Source organism: Homo sapiens, chromosome 3, assembly GCF_000001405.40.
Source record: "Homo sapiens chromosome 3, GRCh38.p14 Primary Assembly".
Classification (NCBI taxonomy): domain Eukaryota; kingdom Metazoa; phylum Chordata; class Mammalia; order Primates; family Hominidae; genus Homo; species Homo sapiens.
In genome coordinates this window covers 23193369-23217443 of record NC_000003.12, presented here as the reverse complement: position 1 = coordinate 23217443, position 24075 = coordinate 23193369, and the positions used below count along the sequence as shown (strand labels likewise).

At 39.5% G+C, this 24075-nt stretch overlaps 1 protein-coding gene and 1 long non-coding RNA gene across 11 annotated transcripts in view, besides 4 other annotated features; one reads left to right on the top strand and one right to left on the bottom strand.

Moving 5' to 3' along the window:
• The window catches only part of UBE2E2 (ubiquitin conjugating enzyme E2 E2), a 388828-nt gene extending 374482 nt beyond the window's left edge, over positions 1-14346 (bottom strand). For 4 of the 9 annotated variants that reach the window (NM_152653.4, XM_047448843.1, XM_047448844.1 and 1 more), the window contains exons 1-3: positions 13980-14117; positions 8569-8752; positions 132-182 (exon numbers count right to left, since the gene is read on the bottom strand). In NM_152653.4, the coding sequence (NP_689866.1) occupies positions 132-182; positions 8569-8744 (227 nt within the window). In that variant the 5' untranslated portion in view covers positions 8745-8752; positions 13980-14117. Of the gene's footprint in view, positions 1-131; positions 183-8568; positions 8753-13979; positions 14118-14181 lie in introns of those variants that run through there. The other 5 variants (XM_047448845.1, XM_017007126.2, NM_001370227.1 and 2 more) reach the window with 2 other exon arrangements.
• Positions 13957-14646: a silencer, noted in NCBI's record as "silent region_14138". NCBI's record gives its function as "represses an Ori minimal core promoter by ATAC-STARR-seq in GM12878 lymphoblastoid cells {active_cell/tissue: GM12878}" and the evidence as "EXISTENCE:reporter gene assay evidence [ECO:0000049][PMID:35858748]".
• Positions 13957-15444: a biological region, named in NCBI's record as "H3K27ac-H3K4me1 hESC enhancer GRCh37_chr3:23243491-23244466".
• On the top strand, positions 14451-22374 carry UBE2E2-DT (UBE2E2 divergent transcript). Of its 2 annotated transcripts, none has more exons than NR_136176.1 (2): positions 14451-14580; positions 22030-22374. It is a non-coding gene; the product is annotated as a UBE2E2 divergent transcript (long non-coding RNA). The 2 variants fall into 2 exon arrangements; NR_136177.1 differs by lacking the exon at positions 14451-14580 and adding an exon at positions 14866-15019.
• Positions 14469-15444: an enhancer, noted in NCBI's record as "H3K27ac-H3K4me1 hESC enhancer chr3:23243491-23244466 (GRCh37/hg19 assembly coordinates)". NCBI's record gives its function as "activates a minimal SCP1, AML or CMV promoter by ChIP-STARR-seq in primed H9 embryonic stem cells {active_cell/tissue: H9 hESC(primed)}" and the evidence as "EXISTENCE:reporter gene assay evidence [ECO:0000049][PMID:30033119]".
• Positions 14997-15056: an enhancer, noted in NCBI's record as "active region_19591". NCBI's record gives its function as "activates an Ori minimal core promoter by ATAC-STARR-seq in GM12878 lymphoblastoid cells {active_cell/tissue: GM12878}" and the evidence as "EXISTENCE:reporter gene assay evidence [ECO:0000049][PMID:35858748]".
• Positions 22375-24075: the final 1701 nt, after the last annotated feature.

Below are 24075 nucleotides of genomic sequence, written 5' to 3'. Positions count from 1 at the left end.
TCACTTAAGTTCAAACAACAATGATGTTTTTACTAATTAATCAGACTACAACAACAGCTGCATATAAAACCAACAGTTCAAATGCACCTTCTGCAAAAGATACAAGTAAATAAAAAACCATGAGTACTTACCTACAGTTGGGAGGAGGGTCCAATGTGATTTCTGCAAGTTCCTTCTGAATTCTTTAAAATAAAGACAAAGAACATTATGTTAAAAATATCTTCACTCTTAACAATTTATTTCATTAAAACGTTACATTTTAATAACATTTCCCTTTGGTATATTAGTTTGAAATACTAATACTGTATAAAGAATCACATCCAACAAACAATAAAGTTGCAATTTCTGCCAGGGTTTTGAGGATGCATCTAAAGGATGAGACTACCAGTGCATGCAACCTGTGGAAGGAACACTACGACTTCACTGAACCACTGACAGCACTAATTAAAATTTCTAAAGCTGGAAATTTCTGCCACACCATTCATGGGTCATTTTAACTTCTGTTTTGTATTAGAGCATTCCCATACAGGATGGAAAGCTGATATTAAGTTAAATCCAAGCATCATGACTGATAGAATCAAATGATTCGGGATCTCATTCCAACACCTGAAACTGCCATCAAGATGCATATGGTATTCCTTCCTGGAGCCTCTAATTTGGACCAGGTTGGGACTTTGAAGTTTAACACTATTTCATCGGCTAGAACTACCCTAATATTACATGAGCAATTAATGTCATTGCATGAGCTTCATGCAAAAAAAAAAATTTAAGCCTGCTCTATCCTCATGTGTTACATTCTACTTTTATTTTTAACAGCATCTAACATCCTATGTACATACAAAAAGGCTGAAAGTGCGCCACTGTTTTCTAAGACTATACTTGGCAATCCCTTAACTATCATTCATACCTTATTAAATGTAGGCTTTGTTAAATCAAATACCAAAAAATTCTCAAAACCGTTTCTTCTCCTTTGCCTTGGTTCTTAAATATGGGGTTATTAATAGCTGGATGCCTGTTGTCTGGTAATTACTGTGACAGTATATCAATAATAACTGATTAAAGTATCTTTAAAAACCAAAACAAGAATTTGAGCAAAAATATTTAAACTCAAACAATTTCATTCTACTTCTTTTTCAAGACAACAAACTACTAGAATAAATGGGATCCCTCCAATAGAATTGGTATCAACTTCCCGAAGGAACTGCATGCTACTAATATAATTGTGACTTCTCTAAACCACGTGATTCAAGGTTGGCGAGGCATTATGAATCAGAGCACGGCTAAGAAATTCAAAGTCAAAAAAATGTCATTGTAATTCTGCTAGGCCATTAAATTGAGTCCCTGAGCAAGAATACTGCTCACACATGCTTGCTCTCTCTCCCTGTGCCTCAGTTTTCCGTCCTGTAAAATAGAAGTTAACTAGAACAAACTCCGTGATCTCTTTTAACACACTGTAACTTCCTTCTAATATGGATTCTGTGAAGTATTTATATGCATACAAAGTACATATTGCCCATATTTAAATGACAGAAGTCTCAAAGATTTGATATAGGAGAAGATATTTTATGGATTTCACACAAAAGTATACAACAGACACTTCAAAACTCAGTGGCTAAGTCCAGGTTAAAGATGGCCAACTAGGCACACACACTTTCACCTCTCACTCATTCAGGACCCCACTGGGTGGGTAGGGGACATACAGAAAATGCAAAAAGGAATAAACAGCAAAGAGAAGGGTGGTGGTCACCAATGAGTGAGAAATTTCAATATATTTCTGCGAGACAAAACAAATGGGTGTAAATCAAACAGGTTGAGACAGGCAAGAGGGGGCTGCAGAGTGTATACCAATAAAACAGACTACTAAAGGGGCATAGGGGGAAGTAATCAGAAATCCCAGAAGGAAAAAAAGCTGCATAAGAAAATCACAGATGAAATATGAAGCAAACTAAAATGTAAAATAACTTTAATTAAGTATCAGACATTGGGGGTGAGGTGGGGAGAGAAAGATTTGATCTATTGTGCCTCAATGCTATGACTCATTGAGAAGCCCAGAGATCATGACACTGGCCTTGTAGTTAATCTAATCGTAATATGCTGTTTGGTCTGGCATTGAATATTTAGTTATAATAAATGTATAATTTATTGGCCTTTTACTTACAGACAAAGCATAGAAGATTGGTTGTTAGTTGCACTGTACAAAGTAAATGTTATTAACTTTGAAGATGTAAAATTAAGTGTAGCTAATATAAACCAGCTAAAAGTGGATGGAGAAGATATTATCCCCAATTTACAAAGTAGAGAATAAAAAACATGTTATTCATAGGAATAAGAAACAGAAGTTTAAATATATATTTTTAGACTATAAAGGCAACCAATAATCTTTTTAAAAAAATTTTAACTATCATTAACTGGGAGGAAGGAAAAGAAAGGAAGAATAGGTAAGCAAACTAAATCCTCATATTTCAGAGCAGGGAATCAAAAGATATTACTTCAATTAACAATTCAATGAGAAATAAGTGTATTATTAAGAGTTGTACAGAAAACCAACAGAAGGAGTAAGACTAAAGACAGCTAAACAGTCTGCTTCAAGGGAATGGAATTGGGAGAACTAGGGGCAGGGGGTGGATAAAAAAACTGTTACTTTCCATTAAAAAAAAATCTATGTACTGTTTACTTTGTTATCAGAAACATGAACAACTTTTAAAAATTGTTTTTAAACTAAGAGAACCAAAAGAATAGGCATTCTAAAAAGCATGCTTAAACTGTCAAAGAAAACTATTTTTAACATAAAAAAACTTCTTTGCAATTTTCAAACAACACATCTTGCTTTATATTTATACTGCCCTTTAGGTTTAAAAAAAAAACAAAAAAAAAACTCATAAATCCTGGGCCAGGCTCAGTATTGGTGGCTATGGCTGTAATCCCTGAGCTTTGGGAGGCAGACGCAGGAGGATCACTTGAGGCCAGAAATTCGAGACCAACCTGCACAACACAGTGAGACTCCTCTACAAAAAATTCAGGAAACTGTTGGTCATAGCGGTGTGTGCTTATAGTCCCAGTTACTCAGGAGGCCAAGGCAGGAGGATCACTTGAGCCCAGGAATTTGAGGCCACAGTGATCTATGATCATACCACATACTCCAGCCTGTGCAAGAGTAAGACCCTGTCTCTAAGGGAAAAAAAACTGATAAATCATAATTTTCTGTCATATAATTCTATATAAAATTTGAACTCCAGATCCCTATAATTCTAGGTCTATATTATTCAATACAAAAAGCAATTTACTGATGAATTCAAGAAGTCTGAGCAGTGAGTCAATAATATTATATTTTGAGCTACTGTTACCTAAAATGGTTGTATGTCTCTTGACAGAAAAGATTATACTAAGAATTGCTATTTAAACGGTTGTAAGATGTCCTGCTGTTTTGAATGACAGCAATTCAATTCTATCTCAAAAGTTGTGATTATGGTATGTATTAAGTTTCTCAGCCTTGACAAGTGGGATAAGAAAGGTACCTATTTCAGGCACTGTCTCTTAGGGTGAGGAAAAATGAAAAGTATCAATAATTCACACTTACAGTCTACCTTTCCCATGATGATCTTTTACCGTTAAAAGTGATTAGGTAAATCTCACAGAATTCTCTAAGTATCTGTTTTATCAGTCCCCATTTAAAAGGCAAGGAAAACTAAGGCTAATTATTTTACGCTGGTAAGGTGAAAGATGGAGAACTATTATCTTGCTAAGTCAAACAAGAAGACTTCCCTCATCAGAACTTTTAAGACAAAATTATTTTACACAAAAATCACCTGAACAATCACCTAAATTTCCAATTTTCATAAGGCAGTGCCACCTCTTAGGTTAGTATGATACAGAAGTCAGCAACTGCCCATTGTTCCTGAGACAAGTCAAGGAGCAATACACAATTAAATTTCAATGTATATTACTCCACCTTATACCTTAACCGTTCCAGGAATGAATGATAAGACTACAATAAGAATGCTGTGTGGGACTGTTATTTGCTTTAAAAAAAATAGCAGAGGAGGGGAATCATAACAATCATGATTCACTCAGACTTAAATGAAGAATATGGTACCAAAATTATACAGAACAGAGAAGATACGAAACACTCATTTTAACATCAATATATTGGGCTAAGGGTTCAGAAAAATGAAGCAGTGTATATGTACTAACATGTTTAAAACACACACATACATTTCTTGAGTTAAAGAAAATTCAAAAATTTACTGAGAGCCAAGTAGAACATGAATGTGTGGATACGCAGATTCGCAAAGTAATTTCTTAGCAGGAATTTTTTTAAAACCCTTCATCTCATCTAGACAACTTTCTATATTCCCTTACAGACTACATTCCTCAGTCAACCTAAAAACCCCTACTCTAATCAATTGAATCACCTAGCGAAAACCTTCCAAAATGAACTTATTCTCAAAAAAGCATCATGCAACTAATTATTAAAATTTTTTAAATGTCAAAGCAATCTTTAGAAAACACATTGCCATTGCAAATAAGAAGTCTAGAGTTTCATTCTAAATGGTGGTATATACTATATATCTATGATTCTGAAAGATCATTGATTTTAAGACACACCATCAATAATTGTGCACATAAATTTTAAGATGTGTCCCAATTTCAGAAACATTAAAAAGTTTTAAAATGTACTTTTAGAATGAAGAAAATACAGTAATTACAAAAGATTATCTACAAAAGTACTATTTCATTCTCATGTGGAAAACAAACTTAGACGAGCCCATATGATAAAAGTTCAAACTGGAATACAGTGGAATCAATCTTTCAACCTAACAAAAATTTAGTCTGAAACCAAAAACCATACCTCGAACAGTATCATATTGAATGTCCAAAAATAAAATCACCATGTCCACTCTAAACAGTTAATTTAGAATAAATATGATATAAAATTCACATTTACAGATGTATCAACCCGTAAAAGCAGCAGAATAAATTCAAAGAAGATCTCAAAATAGACGTTTTATTGAACTGACTAGTCAATTTAATCAAAATAATCTAAATCTGTCACTGCAGATATAGTCCAACAACAGACTTGCAAATATAACAAGAGTGATATAGACATATCAAGAGAACAGGCTGTGATAAGAGCATGACAATTTTTTAAGAAACTCTTGCCAAAGAAAAGCAAAAATGCATCTAAGATGTAACTGTAATCTTTCCTCCTAACTCTGAGACAGAAATTAATTTCTACTGCTGTTTAAATACCCACTTAAATGTTTTCTGTATTATATACCACTATTCTATAATATCACAAATGAGATTTTTCAAATCATAGTTCTATACCAGCTTATTAATTCTATAATTACTGCATTACAATTATTAATTCTACAATTATAGTACATTTCATATAATAACTGAGCACCTACGTGCAAGCACTTTTCCTAAGTCACTACAAAATGTATTTAATTACGGCATCTGAGTATTTCTAGTTTAACAATAGCATTAAGGCCTCCAAGGTTAACATATACCTCATTTTTCCAAAGTTTGTACCAAACAGACTTGAAAAATATGACCGTAGATTTTAACTGACATAAAGTCTATCAGTGACGGCATCAGTTTTGAGAGCTTACTATGTGCCAAATAAATGCTTTATCACATTTAGTCCTCACAAGAACCTTCTGAACAGCGTACCGTTATCATCTTCCTTCTACGAAAGAAGAAATCGAGGCTTTGAGCTGTTAAATTATACATCAAGATCACAGAGGCTAGGCACAGTGGTTCATGCCTGTAATTCCAACACTTTGAGAGACCAAGGCAGGAGGATCGCTTGCAACCATGAGTTCAAGACCAGCCTGAGCAACATAGTGAGACTCCCATCCCTACAAAAAATACATTAAAAATTTAACCTGGTGTGGTGACACAACCCTGTAATCCCAGCTACTTGGGAGGCTGAGGCTGGAGGACTGAATGAGCCCAGGAGTTGGAGATCATACCACTGCACTCCAGCCTGGGTGACAGAGCAAGACTCTGCCTCAAAAAAAAAAAAAAAAAGACCACAGAGCTATAGCTACTAAATGCTAGAACCTAGATTCAAACGTAGATGCTGTCTCTAGAGTTCAAGCTCTTCAATGCTACTCTTTATCTCATAAAATGACACTATTTGGGAAAGGCTTCTCATCTGAATAAAAATGATCGTCAACAAAAAAGTGTGAAATAAAATTTATTTTGAAACTACCTCTAACTTTTAATCTTCTGAACACACTAGTACTAAGATCCTAATATCCATGGAAAATCCGATCCCTATAAGAAGCTCAGGGTTCCAAGGCAGCCAGTAAATAAATACTGTGACTGTACTCTGCTAGGCACTGTGGACATGGCAGTGAACTTAAAAGATGTGGGGTCCTCTGTGCTCATAATTCCCAATTTTTTTCCTAAGTTCAGCAGAAATGGCAAAGAACCAACAACTTCACTATCAGCTGAATTGGAGGAAGAGAGAGGGGAAAATAAGGTTTTTTAAATTAAAAAATTAGTAGTGAAGCCGCATTTTTATATTTAAAATAAATAGTACATAATTACATCATTTCATACACTGTCACCCGAAAACCAACTGAAGACCTTTCTAGAGGAAGATCATGAACCACAATTTGAAAATCACAGATTCACAACAATTTGCCAATGGAGGGATTCTTTCAGCCAGGAAGCAACTCAAAAGAGACTTCCTATTTTCACCAATGCAATACAACCACTTTCTATTTACTGCCAATCAGGCACTGCGCTGCGCTCTGCACATACATTATCTCTAAACTAGGTTTTATCTCCTACATACAGTGCAGAAAAATATCTTCTATATTTTTCCCTCGTGAAATCTATCATTAGGTTTGAATAATCCGTACTTTCTCTATATACTGTAGTAAAATAAAGATGACCCACGTACTTGAAAAACTCATGTTCACACATAAAGCAGTACATCTTTCATAAGCAGAATTTGGTCTTTGACATATCACCCAAGAAATATGATTTTAAGGTATTTTATAGTGGTGCTCCCAGTTAGAGGAAAAGGCAGAGCCTCACCACAACAGGTGACTTTGCTAACTAGCAATCATAGAATAAAGCACAGGCCCAGCAGAACCCTATTCCCCACAGACCTGGCCAACCAATCCTTCCCCTTTTCTGACAAACTGAAGAGGCCCTGTAAAAACCCAATCAGACACTGAGGACTGAATTAGATCTTCCTCATCTGCGTGGAACTACAATCTGTACCTGAACATCTCCTTCCCACCTACATCGACTTCCTTCTTTCACCTAAATGTCATATTTTCTCTATTCCCCACCTTTCTCATCCATCCTAACCCCACCCCCCATTTTCCAGGTCACCTCTAAGCAGGTCATTTGTGTTGTGGTCTGGCAAACAGAAGGGTCAGCCAGCTGAGTCCCCGGTAATTGTGTTGTGATGGCAAAACAAACTGAACCCTCTTCCCCACCCTAGCATGGTCTAGTATACAGGTCTCAAAGTTTAAAGTTCAGGGCTCTCTGACTTTCAAACAGCTCCTTCAACAGAGATCAGCAATACACCCCCACGAAAGGGAAACTGAATACTCTAGTACCTTGGAATAACCACTCACCATCCCTCCAACATCTCTCACCAAGGGTCCTGAGAAGGTTCTTTCCAACCCTGTAGACTGACTAAGCCAAAGGAAAACAAGGTCTACTAGAACAAAATAATGGTTTTTTATCTTTGAGAAAGGAGTTCCCCTTAACCCACACCATAAAATAACATATAAAGCTGTAATACAACATTCAGGCATTCCACTATGCCTACAAGTTACAGATCGCTTTTATGTATACTTCCGACTTGGTCAATGTAAAATATATGAAAACAAAGCAAGAACATAAAATCACAGGATCAGGAAAGACACTACATTTAATTTATCTTTCAAATTATTTTCCAAGAGATATTCTATAATGTAACAATATCAAACAGATTCCCTTTAAGTCCAGTGACATGCCAATCATTTTAAGAGATTGAGTACCAACAGAAAATCATTCAAATACCTACTTTCCAGATCCATCTATTCTCTAGAGAAAGAGAAAATCCGTATCAAGATGGATCCACTGACTAATGTAATGAAACCAAGATGCACCTGTTGCTAATGTCAGCATTTCTGACTTTACCAACTGGGAGTAGTGGAAAATAAACTGTCACTCACTCAGTAACTACTTCAAAGATTCCTAATCTCTATTCTGTGTTACTGAACAGAAAAAAAATATTTATGGTCAAGTAACCATAAATGAAACTACTGCAATTTTACATACACACCCTGTATATGTTTCCCTGATAATACATAAACACACAAACACACTATGGAAATGTATGTTATGAATTTGCCTTGCCATTTAACTGACTTTAAATACTGAAGTTCCCTATGGTTAAAACCATGTAAACGAGATCATCTTGAAGGGAAAAGAAAAATCCATGAAGTTCACGGCCGACATCCCAGAAAAAATGATTAAATGCAAGAGAAAAATAGAACTTAAGATGATAAATTGATACCAACAATAAAAAGGTTATAATAACTGAAGTACCTTTTAGCACTAGTTGACAATTTAGCAGCGGTTTTGCTGGATATTTTTCCCTCCTTTTTCTTGGGCTGAACTTGTTCTCTTTCTGGTTCTTGCTGAACACTTTCACGTTGATCTCCATCGGAACTTCCTCCACTAGTGCTTGGACTGTCATCAACTCTTTGTGCCTCAGTGGACATTTTAGATCCTGGATTAAAGAATCAAAAATCATTTATTTAGCTGTACTACAGTAAGCTACCTCCAGAACACAGAGAATGAGCCTCAAAGTAAAACAAGTAAATCTCAATATAAAATGGATTAAATTGGTCATTTACAAAACAATGCAGCTTTGGGAGTTGCTAAAACTTTTCCTTCATCCATTCAAAATGTATTCTAAAATGAAAACATACAAAATTTATACATGAAATGTTCATAGCAACATTATTCATAATAATCAAAACTGGAAACAACTCAAATATCCACTAACAAATGAATGGATGAACAAAATATAGTAGTATATTCACATAATGTACTGTTAGCCATAAAAAAGAATGAAGTACTGTGTCTACATGCTACAAAATGGATGAACCTTGAAACATTCTGGTAAGTGAAAGAAGCCAGCCACAAAGGACCACAAACTGTTTGACTATTTATATGAAATGTCCTGAACAGGCAAATCCATAAACATAAAATTCAGTAGTGAACCTCACGCCTGTAATCCCCAATGTTTTGGGAAGCTCAGGGAGCACCAGCCTGGGCAACGTAGTGGGACTCGATCTCTACAAAAAATAAAAATATGATTGATACCACTGCATTCCAGCCTGAGTGACAGAGCAAGACCCTGTCTCAAAAAAAAAATTAATAAAAAAATAAAATGGGTAAGTGGTTGCCAGGGAGTGAGGGGAGAGTAGTGAAGAGTGACGGCTAATGGGTATGATGCTTCCCTGTGCGGTGATAAAAATGTTCTTAAATTAGATAATTATAATCTTGCACAATTCTAATAATAAATATTCTAAGAACTACAGAGTTGTACATTTTTAAAGGGTAAATTTTATAGTATGTGAATTATATATCAATAATGCTGTTACAGAAAATAAGACAAAAATGATTAAGGGTCTACTCTCTACCAGGCGCTGTGCTAAGCCCTTTGGTCCCACAACTGTGAAAAACCTCGACTAGCCAACTTGCTAAGTACAAAAACGAAGGTTAGTACAAATACTTGTGGGAACACAAAAATGGGACGACACTTTCAAATCCCTATTCAATCAATACATCCTCAGGGCTGGGCTAAGGTTAAAATTCTCCAAACTAGTAAGTGGTTTTAAGTAACCTTTGTGATAACAGAAGAACACAGAGGCCTGCATGACTGCATGATTCTAAATAAAAATTGAACCATATGACAGCATTCAGCTATATACTAAAGCAACCATATTTCACAAGAGATGAAGACACTGAAGATTTTTTTTTTTTTCCCCACATTCTGGCTAAAATATCCCTCAAGGCTTTCAAATTCCCTTTGCTCTGAGTTCAGGCCCCCCAAGCAGTTCTGATTACCAACTCAATTTCCTCAATACCTTGATATTTAGGTAGCTGTTATAATCTAGACAGCAGACACAAACAATTCCAGTAAGTGAAAAGGAGTATCTCTCCTCAACTGTCATTCTATCATAATCAATTTCTGAGTTTGATGACTATGAATACATCCCTTATGAGCTGACTAGCTTAAAGTGTTCTGACAAATCCAGAACTGAACCAACAAAACTCATGCCCAGACTCTAAAAGGCCTTGTGCTCCCCATGGTTTTGTCACCTAATAATCACTTTCAGCACTGTATAGCTATCTTCTCAGACACCTTTTTAAAAACAAAATACCTATACTTAATAAGTACCATTAACAGCAAAAAATATATCTTTAAAAATTATAGGTACACTGAACAAATTCCTTTTGAAATGGATCCTTTTGATTACTCTTAATCAAATTACAACTTGAAATAAAACTGTTTCTGATATGATCAAGAATAAGAACAGGTAAAGATACCTCAAATAAAGCAAAATTTTTTAATTACTATAACTTAGTCCAAATGGATAGCTATTTGACACTGATGAAAATTCATCATCACTAAAGATTTAACTTGTAGCTTGCTCTAAGCCAAAGCAATGTTGTAACACCGATCTTTAATGGACTGAAATTTTTGTAAGACAAACCAAAAAGCACTGCAAAAGAATGGAAGCATCAGGAAGCACAGAGCCACAAAGAGTCAACAGAAAATAGTGAATCCTTTCACTGACACACCACACACACCACCACCAGCACCCCTTCAACCCCAACAGCTCCCCATGCCAAACAGAAACAGATCTGCCCCAACAGCTCTGAAACATACTAACGGAAAAGCTGACTACTTTTCTACCTATTCTGTAAATGAAGAGCACCAGTCTCCACAGCTGTGACATCTTTTATGAGCACTAAAGTCACTTAATAGAACACTGAAATTTTATATCAGTATGTTTCACATCTAGCTCTAAAAGTCGTAACATATTTCTTGCTTTTTTTCATTTTTATTTCACTCTAAATTCTCATTCTTGGATTTAATATTTTTTTTCACCTTCTTTCAGTTAAAATATATCAGAAGTTTAAAATCTTGTAAGTATGTACATAATGGCATATCAGATAGGGCGGCATGCATGAGAGTGAAAAAGAGAACAATCCTCAGGGAAAGGTGCTCAGATATAGCAAAATGCTGCCAGCAATACCTTAAGAAATGTGAAATGAGTGAGAAATCATTTTATACATTTTAAAACAGGAGCAATCCATTCCATGACAAATATATGGGTACCTCAATGAAATAATATTCTCTATACTGAGGATGCAGCTTCAGCGTAATAAACTATGATTTAATAAACTATGCTGAGAGTTTCAGTTGTGTATAACATTAGTTATAAAGCCACACATTCTTCTCAATATTCTTATTTATGTGCATTTACATACTATCGAATGCCATAGTTATATAATTACTTAAAAAGATTACTCAATGATGTGATCTGAGCCATAATCTGAAACTCAAATTTCTACTGCCGAATATTAGAGGAAGATTAAAATAAAAATTAGTCTCACCAGAGAACTAATAAAAATACTATTAGAAATTCCCCAACAGAGGTGTAATTTCTGGTTTCACATTAAGGAAAAGAATTATTCCCACTTTTGAGTTAAGACATATTTCATCCAAATGTTAACCTACAAATGATAAGTCCATCTGAGGCCATTGATAACCACTATAGGAACTTTTAGAAATAAAGTTTTCACATCTCTTTTTCAAATATCAATAATAAAAGGAATTTCTCCTGGGTTTGTTTTTTGAATGCTTGATTACAGAAAAAGTATAGAAAAAAATTATTGTACCACTCAGGTGCAACGAATTTTTATGAAGAAAAAGTAGTCTATGAATCAATTTAATTAGTCGTAAGTGTAAACTTGATGTCTTGTCTCTCTGAAGTACAAATGAATAAAAATTCCTGAATTAAAATCCTTTAAACATTATCTTCTAAATTAGCATTTTAAAATTAATTCCTAAATAGCTAATCTGATCCGATTATCTCATCTACAGGGAAGATAAACTTAAATCCCAGGGTTATAAACAAACAGCTACTCTCCAATGATACTTTCAAAGATATTGAGAGAGATAAATACGCTTACTTCATAACTCAAAGTAAAATTTAATTTTTAACCATAAAATAAGTAGTCCTTCCTAAAACTATATTAAGAGGCTTACATATTGTTACTTCTTCAACACAAACTGTCTAAGCTTGTATTAGCTATGTACCCTATGTTGTAATTACAGTCCTGGAAATTAGCAACATACAGTGAATGAAACTCACATGTTCCATAAAAATGAAATGATTTGGCTTGAAATATTACTGACTACATAAAGGCAACTATAGTCATTCCATAAATCCAGCCTACTACCCAGGTAAGCCTTATAACAGTATCTACTAGTATAAAACTGCAAAACCAAGTGTTCATTTAAGCTTTTATAACAGGAAAGCGTTTAATTCTGTCATATATGTCTTGCTGTCTTCCTACTCATGTTTCTAAACTTTTCTAAAATGTAAAATAAATATATAGTATATGCACACAGCAATATCCAGCTTTAAATTTAACTGCAAAGACATTTATGCAGAAAATAACAGTGGAACACCTGATTTGGGGGTAAAAGGTGCTGCAGGGGAAAGAGAATGGGGTATGGCATTATATGAAAACACTCTATTTCAGCGTCAGCCCACATACAGAATTCCAAAGAGCCAAGGAGCATCCAAATTGCCGTAGTAAAGGCAAATATTTAGATTCACAAAGTCCAGACTGAATTATCACATATCTAGAAACATACTTTTTAAAGAAATCAGGGATTAAAAACTAAGAAGAGCGTAAAATCCTTTAGAACCGCGAGATACTTTGAGGGTAAACCCTAGCACTTCCTTTCGTACTTTTAAATAAAAATATTTTAGTAGACTCTCAAGAATACACAATACAAAACGATGAATCTTGAAAACATGCAAATGGGTCTAACAGCCACCGAGCACAGGATGATGTCTTTCTAAAGCAGCCTTAATTTCCTTAAGGGAAGATGGATTGGACATTTCTGGTTGGTCGTGGGGGAAAAAAGCCACAAGAAGCCACGCTTTATCTTCATTAGAAATGGTAAAGGGCAAAAAGATCAAAACATTATGAGAGAGATCGGAGAAAAGAGGGGGAGAAGTGGGGTGGGCGGGAAGGGGGAGAGGACAGAGGGAATCCAGTTTCAAACCAGGCCAGTGGGGGCTGCAGAGAAGAGACCAGAGAAAAATGGGCTTCGGTTCCAAACTGTGACAAGCGCCAGGCATCACAAAAGACCAATACAACACACACCCCTCACCAGGACACACACAAATATACCCCACAAGGTCTTCTCCGGGCGGGCCACCGGGGTGCGGCGGCGAAGGAGCCAAACCCGGCACTCGCCAGGAGACACACCATGTGCAGCAATTATGCAATTAGGGAAAATAGCAAAAGATCAAGCCGGGCACTTTCCACCGTGACATTTATCCTGTACTTTTGAAAAGACTTAGTTCCAGGATGCGGCTAGGAGAAGGAAAGCGCTGGGAGGGTTGAGAAGGATGGGGAACTGAGAACGGAAGGGGGTAGAAGGAGGACAGGGAGAGAAGAGGCAGAAGGGGGGGATGGGAAGAAGGGGGAGGGGTAGAAAGGGCGAGAAACGGGGGCAGGAGGCTCGCGGGAGGGGGCGTAGGGAACCGGGCACGGGGAGCGAGGAAGGAGGGAACTAGGGCACGAGCGGTGTAAGCAGAGACCTGCGACGCGGAGGGGAGGTCGGGGGAGTGAGGAGGACGTCAGCGAGAGGGAGGACGCCCGAGGAGGGGAGGCACCGGCGCGGCCCGAGCGAATACCTGAGGGGGGGGTGTCCGTGCAGGTCGCAGGCTCGAGCCGAAGCCCTGGGAGAGAGCTGCCCAGGCGCGAGGGGGAGGGAGACTGGGGAGGCCCCAGGGACGGGATGTCCCCTGCGGACCGTCTAGTCACCGAAAGCCGGACCCACGCACCACGCACCCGACCACGCCTGTCCCCGCCGCGCTCGCGCCCGCCCGGACTCACCCTCAGCGCCGCCGCTGCCGCCGCCCCCGGCCGTTCCAGCTCCGGCTCCTGAGGCTGCTGCCCGCGGCTGTCGCTGTGGCTGCCCCTGAGTCCTGGAAAGTGAAGCCACCACCTCCGGGAGCCGCCGCCGCCCGGCCGTCCGCGCGCGCACCCGCGAGTGCGCGTGCCTGCGCGCCCGCCCGGGAGAGACCGCGAGAGCGCGAGCCCCACGTCGGCCATGCGGCGCCGCGCGCCTCCCTCCTCCCCCCGCCCCTCCTCCTCCGGCGCGCGGCCGCGAGGGGGCGGGGGCGGGAGCGCGCCCGGGCGGGCTGCCCCGCCGGTCGGGAGAGGGGGTGGGGAGGCGGCGAGGAAAAGTAAAGTGACAGCTGGGTCCCGCGCGCAGACTGGGCTCTGACGGGGGTGAGCGAGGGGCGTCCCACGGGGAAGGAACGACAAGGACGGGGAGAAGTGGGGGAAACCGAGGCTGACGGGGTGGCTTGAGGGGAGGGGACGCGAGGACCTTGCCGGGCACGCGCATTAAAGGGAAACGCCGGCTGGGGGTTAGGGGTTACCCCAAGACGGTGCAGGCAGTGGGACGAGGAGGCCTTTTACCCCCATCCACCGCAGCCCTTGACTTCACGCTCGCCTCGAAGCTTTCGCAAAGTAGATACGGGGACTGACCCTGTTGACACACTAACCCAAACTCGCAGACGCGTGGGGCTCGCATGTACCCAAGACAGGAAAACTTCACGTTGGCCTGGAAACTTCTTCCAGGCTAAGCCTGAGTCTTCACCAGACACTGCAGCACGAAGGCCCTTCTGCCTTTTGGCTCGCCCTGGCCCAGAATGCGCACCAGCCGGTAGAGAGGAGCTTCGGGCCGTTTAGCCCTGGGGTATTGAAGAGAGGGGTGGGGGTACAGGGTGCACCACTGTCAGAGTGAGTGGGAAGCTGCCTTCATGCCCAGTTGAAGGATATGGGAACAGTAGCAGTGCTGTAGGTGGCATGAGGGAACATTAGGTTCCGTTGTACTCCTCATCCCAAATAACCGTTTAAAAAAAAAAAAAAAACGTACCTGCTTTGCGAACTTAGCTTCCACGAAATTTCTCCCACTCCAACCTCCAGCCTCACTTACCAACGGAATGCTGGGTCGTTGGCAACGGGGTGTCCAGGGATGCAGCAAAATTAACTTCTATCTTTGTGGAGGAAAGGATTGGAAGATCTTTCACTGCTTAATTGCTGAAATTATGGTTGCTACAGTACTTCATTTGACTGTAGATGTTTTAACTGCTATTTACTAAGTTCAAAATGGGTTTAATACAAATCAGTTACCCTTTTCATTTATTCAAGGAATATTTATTGATACCAGGCACTGTCTAGGTGGTAGATATATGACATTGAATAAAAGAAAAAAATCCTTGTCCTCAGAACTTCCCTATGTCTGAACCTTCTCTGTTGTACACTCAGCATCACATTCGTCAGCAAATTCTGTTGACTCTGTTTTCACAAATATATGGTGAAAATGTCCACTCCGTCTCACTCCCCTCCCCACTGCTAATGTCCTGGTCTAAGGCATCATCTCTCAATAATTATCTCCTACCTGATCTTTCTACCTCCCACTCTCCGCCTCCTCCCTCCCCAACACCTACACACAGCCGACTGTCCTTTAAAACAAAGATTAGATTATGTCTCTCTTCTTCTCAAAAATTCCAGTGGCTTCCCATCATAGAGCAACAGCCAAAGTGCAAAATATGGATACATGGCCTGCATGATGTGCCCACCATTCCCAGCCAGGATTCCCCTGACCTCAAGCTGTACGATTTCACTCCATCCTCGTCTCCTTCCAGCCACACCGGCCTTGCAGTTATGGACACACCAAGCATTCCTCAGCCTCAAGACCTGTGTACTTACTATTTCCTATCTCTAGAACATTCTTTCCTCCCACTCCTCCCCCAGAACTTCCTATCCACATCCTCTGCTTTTTCTCCATGATCACCACCTGACATAATACATTTTTTTACTTATTTATTAGTTTCCCCCTTCTGCTTTCTTTTTCCTCCCTCTCCCAGCCCTCCCACGTAAAAGCACCTTGAGAAAAAGGATTTCGTCGTCTGGGGTTCAGTGCTGTATATATTCAATAGATAATGACCGAGTGAAAGAAATTGGTCTCTTTCAGTTGATGACACAATAGGTATTGTTTCTAATTTCTTCAATAATTAGTACTTACCGTGTTCTTAATTTGTGCTAGGCAGCATGCTAAGCACTTTAGTTATACTAGGTCACAACCACCACACAGGTTGGTTTTATCCAATCAGCCCCACTGTACAGATGAGAATACTGAGGTACGGAGGGATTAAGTCACTCACCTACAGTCACATAGCTAGTGAGGAGCAGAGCTGGGACTCGAAATCAGCAGTTTGGCTCTGGAGTCTGTGAACTTAAGGACACTTTACCATGAGTCTGGTGTTACAGACATAAATATTTATTTGATTTTCTCTATTTCTCTCTTCTGCGGTGCAAACTTGGTCTCCAAGACAAATAGCTCATCTTCCTTATATTTTCTGCTCTGGTCCATCAGTCTGTCGTCATGAACTCACTCCTTTCTTACATTTCTTATTTCTGATCATTAATTTAGAGCCTACGTTTTTTCCCCCTGCAACTGGCAAATTGGAATGTTTTTTGAAGGGTCCTTCTTAAAACGTTGTTACTGCCAACTTCGTGAGTAAGTAGAGCCACAGTTAGTTTTCCAGTTTGACTGGATGGGTGATAGAAAAGACCTCTCTCAGGGGAACTGGGCTGAATTTGAGCAGAAGCATTATACTGGTAGAGCCCTGCTACTTATTTAGGCAACTTCTGTTCTTGTTAGGCACCCAATTATCAGGGGTTATTACATATTTATATTATACCCTTTGAAAGAAACATCATATTAGCTCAGGTTTTCCAAAGAATGGGATAGAAAACAATGATCTGTTGCATACTGTCTGGCTTGAAGGAGGCTGTAGTCACCCCGAATGTTTTGGATACTTAAGGGCAACAGTGGTGTAGGAAAATTGAAACTCCAATAGAACTGCAACCCCATTACCTACCTAGTTCAGTACCAACGCAAAGGTACGACCAGGTGCTTTAAAAAAATGTTTGTTTCATAAATAAATAAATGAAATTCTAGCAGGGAATAGAAGTGTACTGAGGACAAATTCCCCTGACTTCCCCATTTGTTCAGGAACTGCTACCTGGACCACTATGTATGATCGTGTATTTTGTACACTGCAAAGTATCAGGGGGTGCCATTCATGTAAATTAAGATGCAAACATAGAAGTGTGGCTGCTCCTCTCACCCCTAGACGTTGCCTGAGTATGGTAATCAGTCTCTAAGATGTCCCACTGATCCCTGCCTCTTGGTATTCACACCCTTGTGTAATCCCCTCCTACGTCATGCTAGGGTTGGTGTAATGCTGTGAGAAAGGAGGGTATGTCACTTCCAAGATTAGTTTAGGGCTTCCATCTTGGTTGCGCACACACTGATGCTCTCTCTCTCTCTTTGCTGTCACTGACTCTGGGGAAAGCTAGCTGCCATATTGTGAGCAGCCCTGTGGAGAGGCCCATGTGACTAAAAAATAAGACCCGCTAACATCCACATGTGTAAGCTTTAAAGCAGATCCTTCAGCCTTAGCTAAGCCTTCAGATAATGAAGCCCTGATCAACATCTTAACTGCAAACTCTTGAAAGTCCTTGAGCCAGAAACACCCAGCTAAGCCACTCTGGAATCTGGAGATAATGTTTGTTATTTTCAGCCACTAAGTTTTAAGGGTAATTTGTTATGCATCAATAGATGATTACTACACCATGCTCTCTGCTCACTAATGATGAAGTTCCCCCTCAAGTTCTCCATGTATCAAGGAGGTTGCTGTCATGGTAGGTCTTCCAGGGAGAGGAGTCCCACTAACTCCTGAAATGGACTATTGCACCTAACTTCTCAGTAACTGCAAACATAGAGGCTTAAGGAGGTACTGAGACATAAGTAAAGGATCTCAAGAGACAGCACAGGCCAGGAAAAAAAAGAAAAGTGGTTCTGAGGGGCTGTCTTTAGATACCACAGGAGTAAGAAACGAAGAACTGGCTGTGGAGAGGACTAACCAAACAGAAAGGAAAGAATCGGAGATTTGTTGAGCAATGAGATTGTAGTTGAGGTTTTCTTTGTTGTAGTTATTATAATGCTATTAGTACAATAAATAAAAATATGGAGAAACCTCAGAAAGAAGCAGACGGAAAAGCCTTGCCCTGGTTGGCGCCTTTCCTGGGCATTGCAGAGATGCTTTGGAACTGAGCTATCTTGTTTCTAGATCCTGGTTCTGCTGCTGCTTATGTGACCATGAGCAAGTGGTTTAACTTCTTACTGCCTCAGAGTTCTCCCCTACAAATGGGGCTTATTTGAATGGCCAATTCTTATATAGGGTCAGAGGGAAGATTAAATGAGTTAATGTATGTCTGCGACTTGAATAGACTTGAAGCAAAGTAAGTACAATAGAAGTGTGAGCTACTAGTCTTCCTGGTGCTTTGATAAGTGGGAGATCATCTCACCCTCAAGTCTAGGTGTAATTCTCTCACTTGAGTTTGCCACTTTCTCTTGCAAATAGTCTTCTAGGTCAGCCACACCGCATGTCTCCCTGTACCTTACACTGTTTAAAAGCCTACACTCTTTACTTTGCTGTGAACTTCTGAAGGGCATACACCATGCTTTATTTATCTCCACACCTACACATTAGTAAAAAGAAAAAGCATCCCTGAGGGTTGGTTGAATTAATAAATATACCTGCTTTTTCAGCTGCCATTTCCCCAGACTATAGAATTGTGGAGATGGGTGTAACTGTTTCACATCATTCATATCAACAACCATTTCAAAGAATACACAAGCTCTTTACTATTTTTTATGAATTCAGAAAGTATACTAATGAATATTTTCCAGTATTTCATGAACGCTCTGGCTTTCTCTGCAGCCTCTATAAAGAAAAAATGTGGAATCTTTTTAAATATGACCAAATGAGAAAACATTTTTCTTTTTCATTTTTTAGACGGACTCTTCTTGCTCTGTTGCCCAGGCTGAAGTCCAGTGGTGCAATCCCAGCTCACTGCAACCTCCGCCTCCCGGGTTCAAGTGATTTTCCTGCCTCAGCTTCCTGAGTAGCTGGGACTACAGGTGCCCACCACCATGCCGAACTAACTTTTGCATTTTTAGCAGAGACGGAGTTTCACCATATTAGGTTTCACTAGTTCAAACTCCTGACCTCAAATAATCCTCCCACCTCAGCCTCCCAAAGTGCCGGGATTACAGGTGTGAGCTACCACACCCGGTCTGAAAAAAACTTTTTTTTTTTTTGGCTGTCGTTATCTTATTGCTTTTATTTTCTTTCACATGCATCTTAGTACTACCTTCTATACTAGGAAGTGCACACTTTTTAAATAACAGCTTTATTGAGATATAATTCACCATACAGTTCACCAATTTAAAGTATATAATTCAATGATTTTTAGTACACCTACATATTAAGAGGAAGGCATAACTTATATGGAGAAGAATAAAGACTCTTTTCTCTTTTGCTTTCTATTCTGTTTTTCTTTTGACCAGGACTTACTATGAGGACTCTGTAGGTAAGCCATTTGTTTAAAGTCTCTGGGTTTAATATGCAAACCAGGGTCAAATGAAAAACCAGCACCATCAGAGAAGCCAAGTATCAAGGCCCCCAGTTGATGATTTATCTTACTAGCCTAGTTCTAGTCAGGCTGTATCCTCAGATTCTGGGGGAGTTGATTATAATCTCAAAAGACACAATTCCAAATGCCATAATCCCCAACATCCTAAAAGACCAAAATCTCTAAAGTCCAAAATCCTGAAAATCACAATCCAGAAAGATCAAAATCTCAAGAATATAATTCTGAAAAAAATAAAACATTTATTTACATTTTAAAAGGGGATTTATTTGAGAAACATAAAAATACAACAAAGTACTTCATAGGCCAGTTTACACAATAAAATAGGCAGTAATACATATTTTTGCAACACTCAGGTATACTAATGACAGTCACATGAGTATCACAGTTATAAGCAGACAAGCCATATTCATAAATAAATAGGTCAAAGAAGGGAATGTGTAAACATATCATTATGGTTGGTAAGTGAGTGCACCCAGCTTTATTATTGTGGTCATACTGAAATACCGTGAGAAATACCTAAATCTTTTGAAGAAATCAATCAAAAACCTCAGTGGGTCACCACCACATATGCAGTTGCCCGAAGAGCTGAGATCTTGGGCAATTTTACTTTTTGCAAATCAAATGTACGAAAAAAGGCATCTCTCCATTTATTAAGGAAGTTTCAATGTTTTTACATACATGAACAATGCTTACATACAAATCATTTTTGTGGTAATTCACTCTCATGGAGTCAAATTTGCAAAAAATGCATAAAACAAATTAGAACTCTTTAAAAGTCTCTACACAATTTATACCTCCGCTATTGGAAATGATGCCAAGACGAAATACATAGCATAGCAAATTGTTAAAAAAAAAAATTGACAATTTAAAATAGTGGGGGAAAAAACTTAAAAAAAGAAGAAAGAAGCAGTGGCTCACCCATACCAGCTACTCAGGGGGCTGATGTGGGAGGATTGCTTGAGCCCAGGAAGTCAAAGAAAATTCAACATATGAAACAATATATTACAGGGATAGATTATAGGTAATTGCACAGATATAGTCCCAGAAGACCTGGCTGACTTTCACAATCATTAACTGTAGTTTGAAGTCTTGCATCACAATGAATAGCTGCTTTTTTTTTTTTGACATAGCTCTCCTCCAAAAATACATTCACAATCATTTTCTATGTGGCCCTGCTCTTTTTGAAATTCTTCTGTTATTTGATATACACCAACACGAGCACTTCTTACTACATTTTCCCATCTCGTGTCTAAGGAGGTTGATCTTTGACGGCTTCAACATTTGGGATTATGGCATTTGGGATTGTGTCTTTCTGGATTATGATCCAAACCCAAACATCAGCATTCCCCCTTGTATTGGCTGAGTCCTCCAGGAGGTAGGCACCAAGATGCAGTTAGATGTGCAAGAAATGTATGTATTTATATACGAATGATAAAGGGGAAAGGGAGCAGGAGTAGGCAGGGAAATCCTTCAGGCTATGATACTGGTCTGATACCTGTGAAAAGAGAGAAAGGAGGAAGAAGTTTGTAGGAGGAGCCTCATGCTGAAGTGCAGTGCTGAGGAAGTCTCGTCCAGCCTAACAAAGTTCCAGTGCAAAGATTGCCTGTAAGCACTGGGCAGAAATTGCCAGTTTCTACTGTTCCCATCATGTTCTGTCATTTGCTGGGATGCCTAGGGAGAGCATGTCCTTGGTTCAAAAGCTAAAATGGGTCCTGAGGGCACTGAGAGCTGCCAGTTGGCAGCAGCTAACTTGGACTCCTCACAGTGGATAGGCAAATCTTTTTCTTAAAGTGTGATCCAAGCCATGCATTTCCATTCCTCTTGCACCTTTGTCATCAGAACTGCACGTTCACAAACATAGTTTCACACTCTACTTCTATCTATCTTGGACTTGCTAACCGGGATGAGTTTCACTCATGCCATTGCTCACCATCTCTGCTTTAACCTAGCTTCTGAGCTTTGAGCTTCTGACTATAGCTAATATCCTGCCTCTAATTCTTCCATTTGCTTAATAGTTGATATGTTCAATCCTGTACCAGGCTCAACTTTCATTAGACTGGCCTCAGAGAGCCAAAATAAATACCTGAATTCTTCTTCAGAGGCTTAGAGTGAGTAGAGTATTAGCTTTCTTATTAATTCCTGTCATTTCTCTCTGTTGTACAGGCAAGAGAAAGAGGCCCACTGCAATATGCTGTGAAGAATACATAAGAAGTCAAACTGTTGACCTCTTTTCCCCAGCCCGTTCCAAAACTACATCCCTGAGGAGTTGTGCACCTCTACGGAAAGTTCAGATGAAAGAGCTAATTCCCCTTGATCTCTCTTCTTGTTCAGAGTGGAGGAAAAACATATACCATCCCTTCCATCAATCCTCAGCATAACTTTGCCAGGGACACTGGTAACAAGCTACTTTTACCTCAGAAGTTGGAGAGTATCACTTGACCCACATTGTGTATGTGTAAATATCTTTATTCAGTGTATATACAATATATTCTTAATTTGACTCTCAAAGTTTATAATTAGCATTGAATGAGTATGAAACATTGTTTTCCAAATACTGTCAGCAAGCTATTGAATATGTTGTTCCTGATTTATGAATGAGATTTTCATCAGCAGAAACTTATGACAAATGACCAATTACATTGTCACTGCTAAGTTCCAAGAGCATTTCTTTCAGTTATGCTATTTAGAGTATAAACATCATACTGAATTATTATTAAACTCCACTCAAAATTTTTAATTAAGCCATCCACATCATCTAAGTCTTTTCCCTTCCCCTTCTGTGAACCTTCTTTTTTGAGACAGGGTCTCAGTCTGTCACCCAGGTTGGTGGGCAGTGGTGCGATGTTGACTCATTGCAACCTCCACCTCCTGAGTTCAAGTGATTCTCCTGCCTCAGCCTGCTGGGACTACAGGTGTGCACCACCACTCCCAGGTAATTTTTGTATTTTTTGGTAAAGACGGGGTTTCCCTGTATTTGGCCAGGCTGGTCTCAAACTCCTGACCTCAAGTGTTCTGCCCACCTTGGCCTCCCAAAGTTCTGGGATTACAGGCATGAGCCACTGCACCTGGCCTCCATAAACCATTTTTTAATCTGTTATTTTTATTTTCCTCTTTCTCTGCTCTTAACCCTCAGTCACAGAATCATGTTGCAGGGAGGGCAGGTAGGGGAAAAAGAAAAAGGAAAGGCTACAGCTTGAGTCTAATTTGTCTCAATCTAGGATTCAGAATGTCAGGTATGTACTGAGGGTGGTAGAGCAAGCTCTTAGGGTGGAGTGTCATATTTAAATGAGGAGCCAAGCATTGTCCTGAGAAGAAGGATCCTAAGGAAAAAGAGGTTGGAGGCATAGAAGATTGCTTAAGGATGAGGAGTATATCACTGGATAAAGGCAATTTTAGGCATGTCATAAAATCTGTTGCTTTCCGATTATTCCAATTCAACCCCTGTAGACTTTTATGGTCCAAGGGGAAGAAGGTCTATGACTAAGGACTAACAGCCATATACCCACAAAATCTGTTTGACAATTGCACAGTGTAACACAGAAAAGGGAAGAAGCCAGGCATTGCCATGTTGAGGGAACTGACAGAGAGTGGGAATTAGCCCCAGCACTATCAGTGGCTTGGCTGGTGGTGCAGCTTGGAGGCATTGGTGCAGAACTATTTGGGGCCGATCAGTCGGAGGTGAGATAGGCCCCTTTTAGCCAGTGGTAGAGAACAGATTACTTCTGGGGATTTCATAGGCTTTGGAGGCTTCAGAAAATGCTGCCACTTCTGGGAGCAAGAAGTGGAAAAAAGGAAAGGGGCTGTTTTATAAGCTCATATGAGAGTATACCTGGTGACTCCCAGGGGTGATGATACGGAGTTCTCTGAAGGACGTCAAAGCTCTGACAGTAGTGGAAAGAACCTTGCAGGATGTCAAATCCAACCATCATCAAATTTAGAATTCCTTCTTTAAAAAATTACTTCAATACCTCCAGTGACAGGGACTATCTACCTCTCCTAATAGCCGGTTCCATCTTTGGGTAGCTTTGACTTTCTTCACCCCAAAATTGCCTCCCAATCCTTCCCTTCATATGCTTTTGAGGTTACAGAACAATGCCAACAGCCCTTCTTCAGGAAAGCTTTTATTATTTAAAAATGTTGAATATGCTTCATTAGTTGGTTCCTCCCTGAATTAATATCTCCTTTTTCTTCATTTGTCCCTCATGTGAC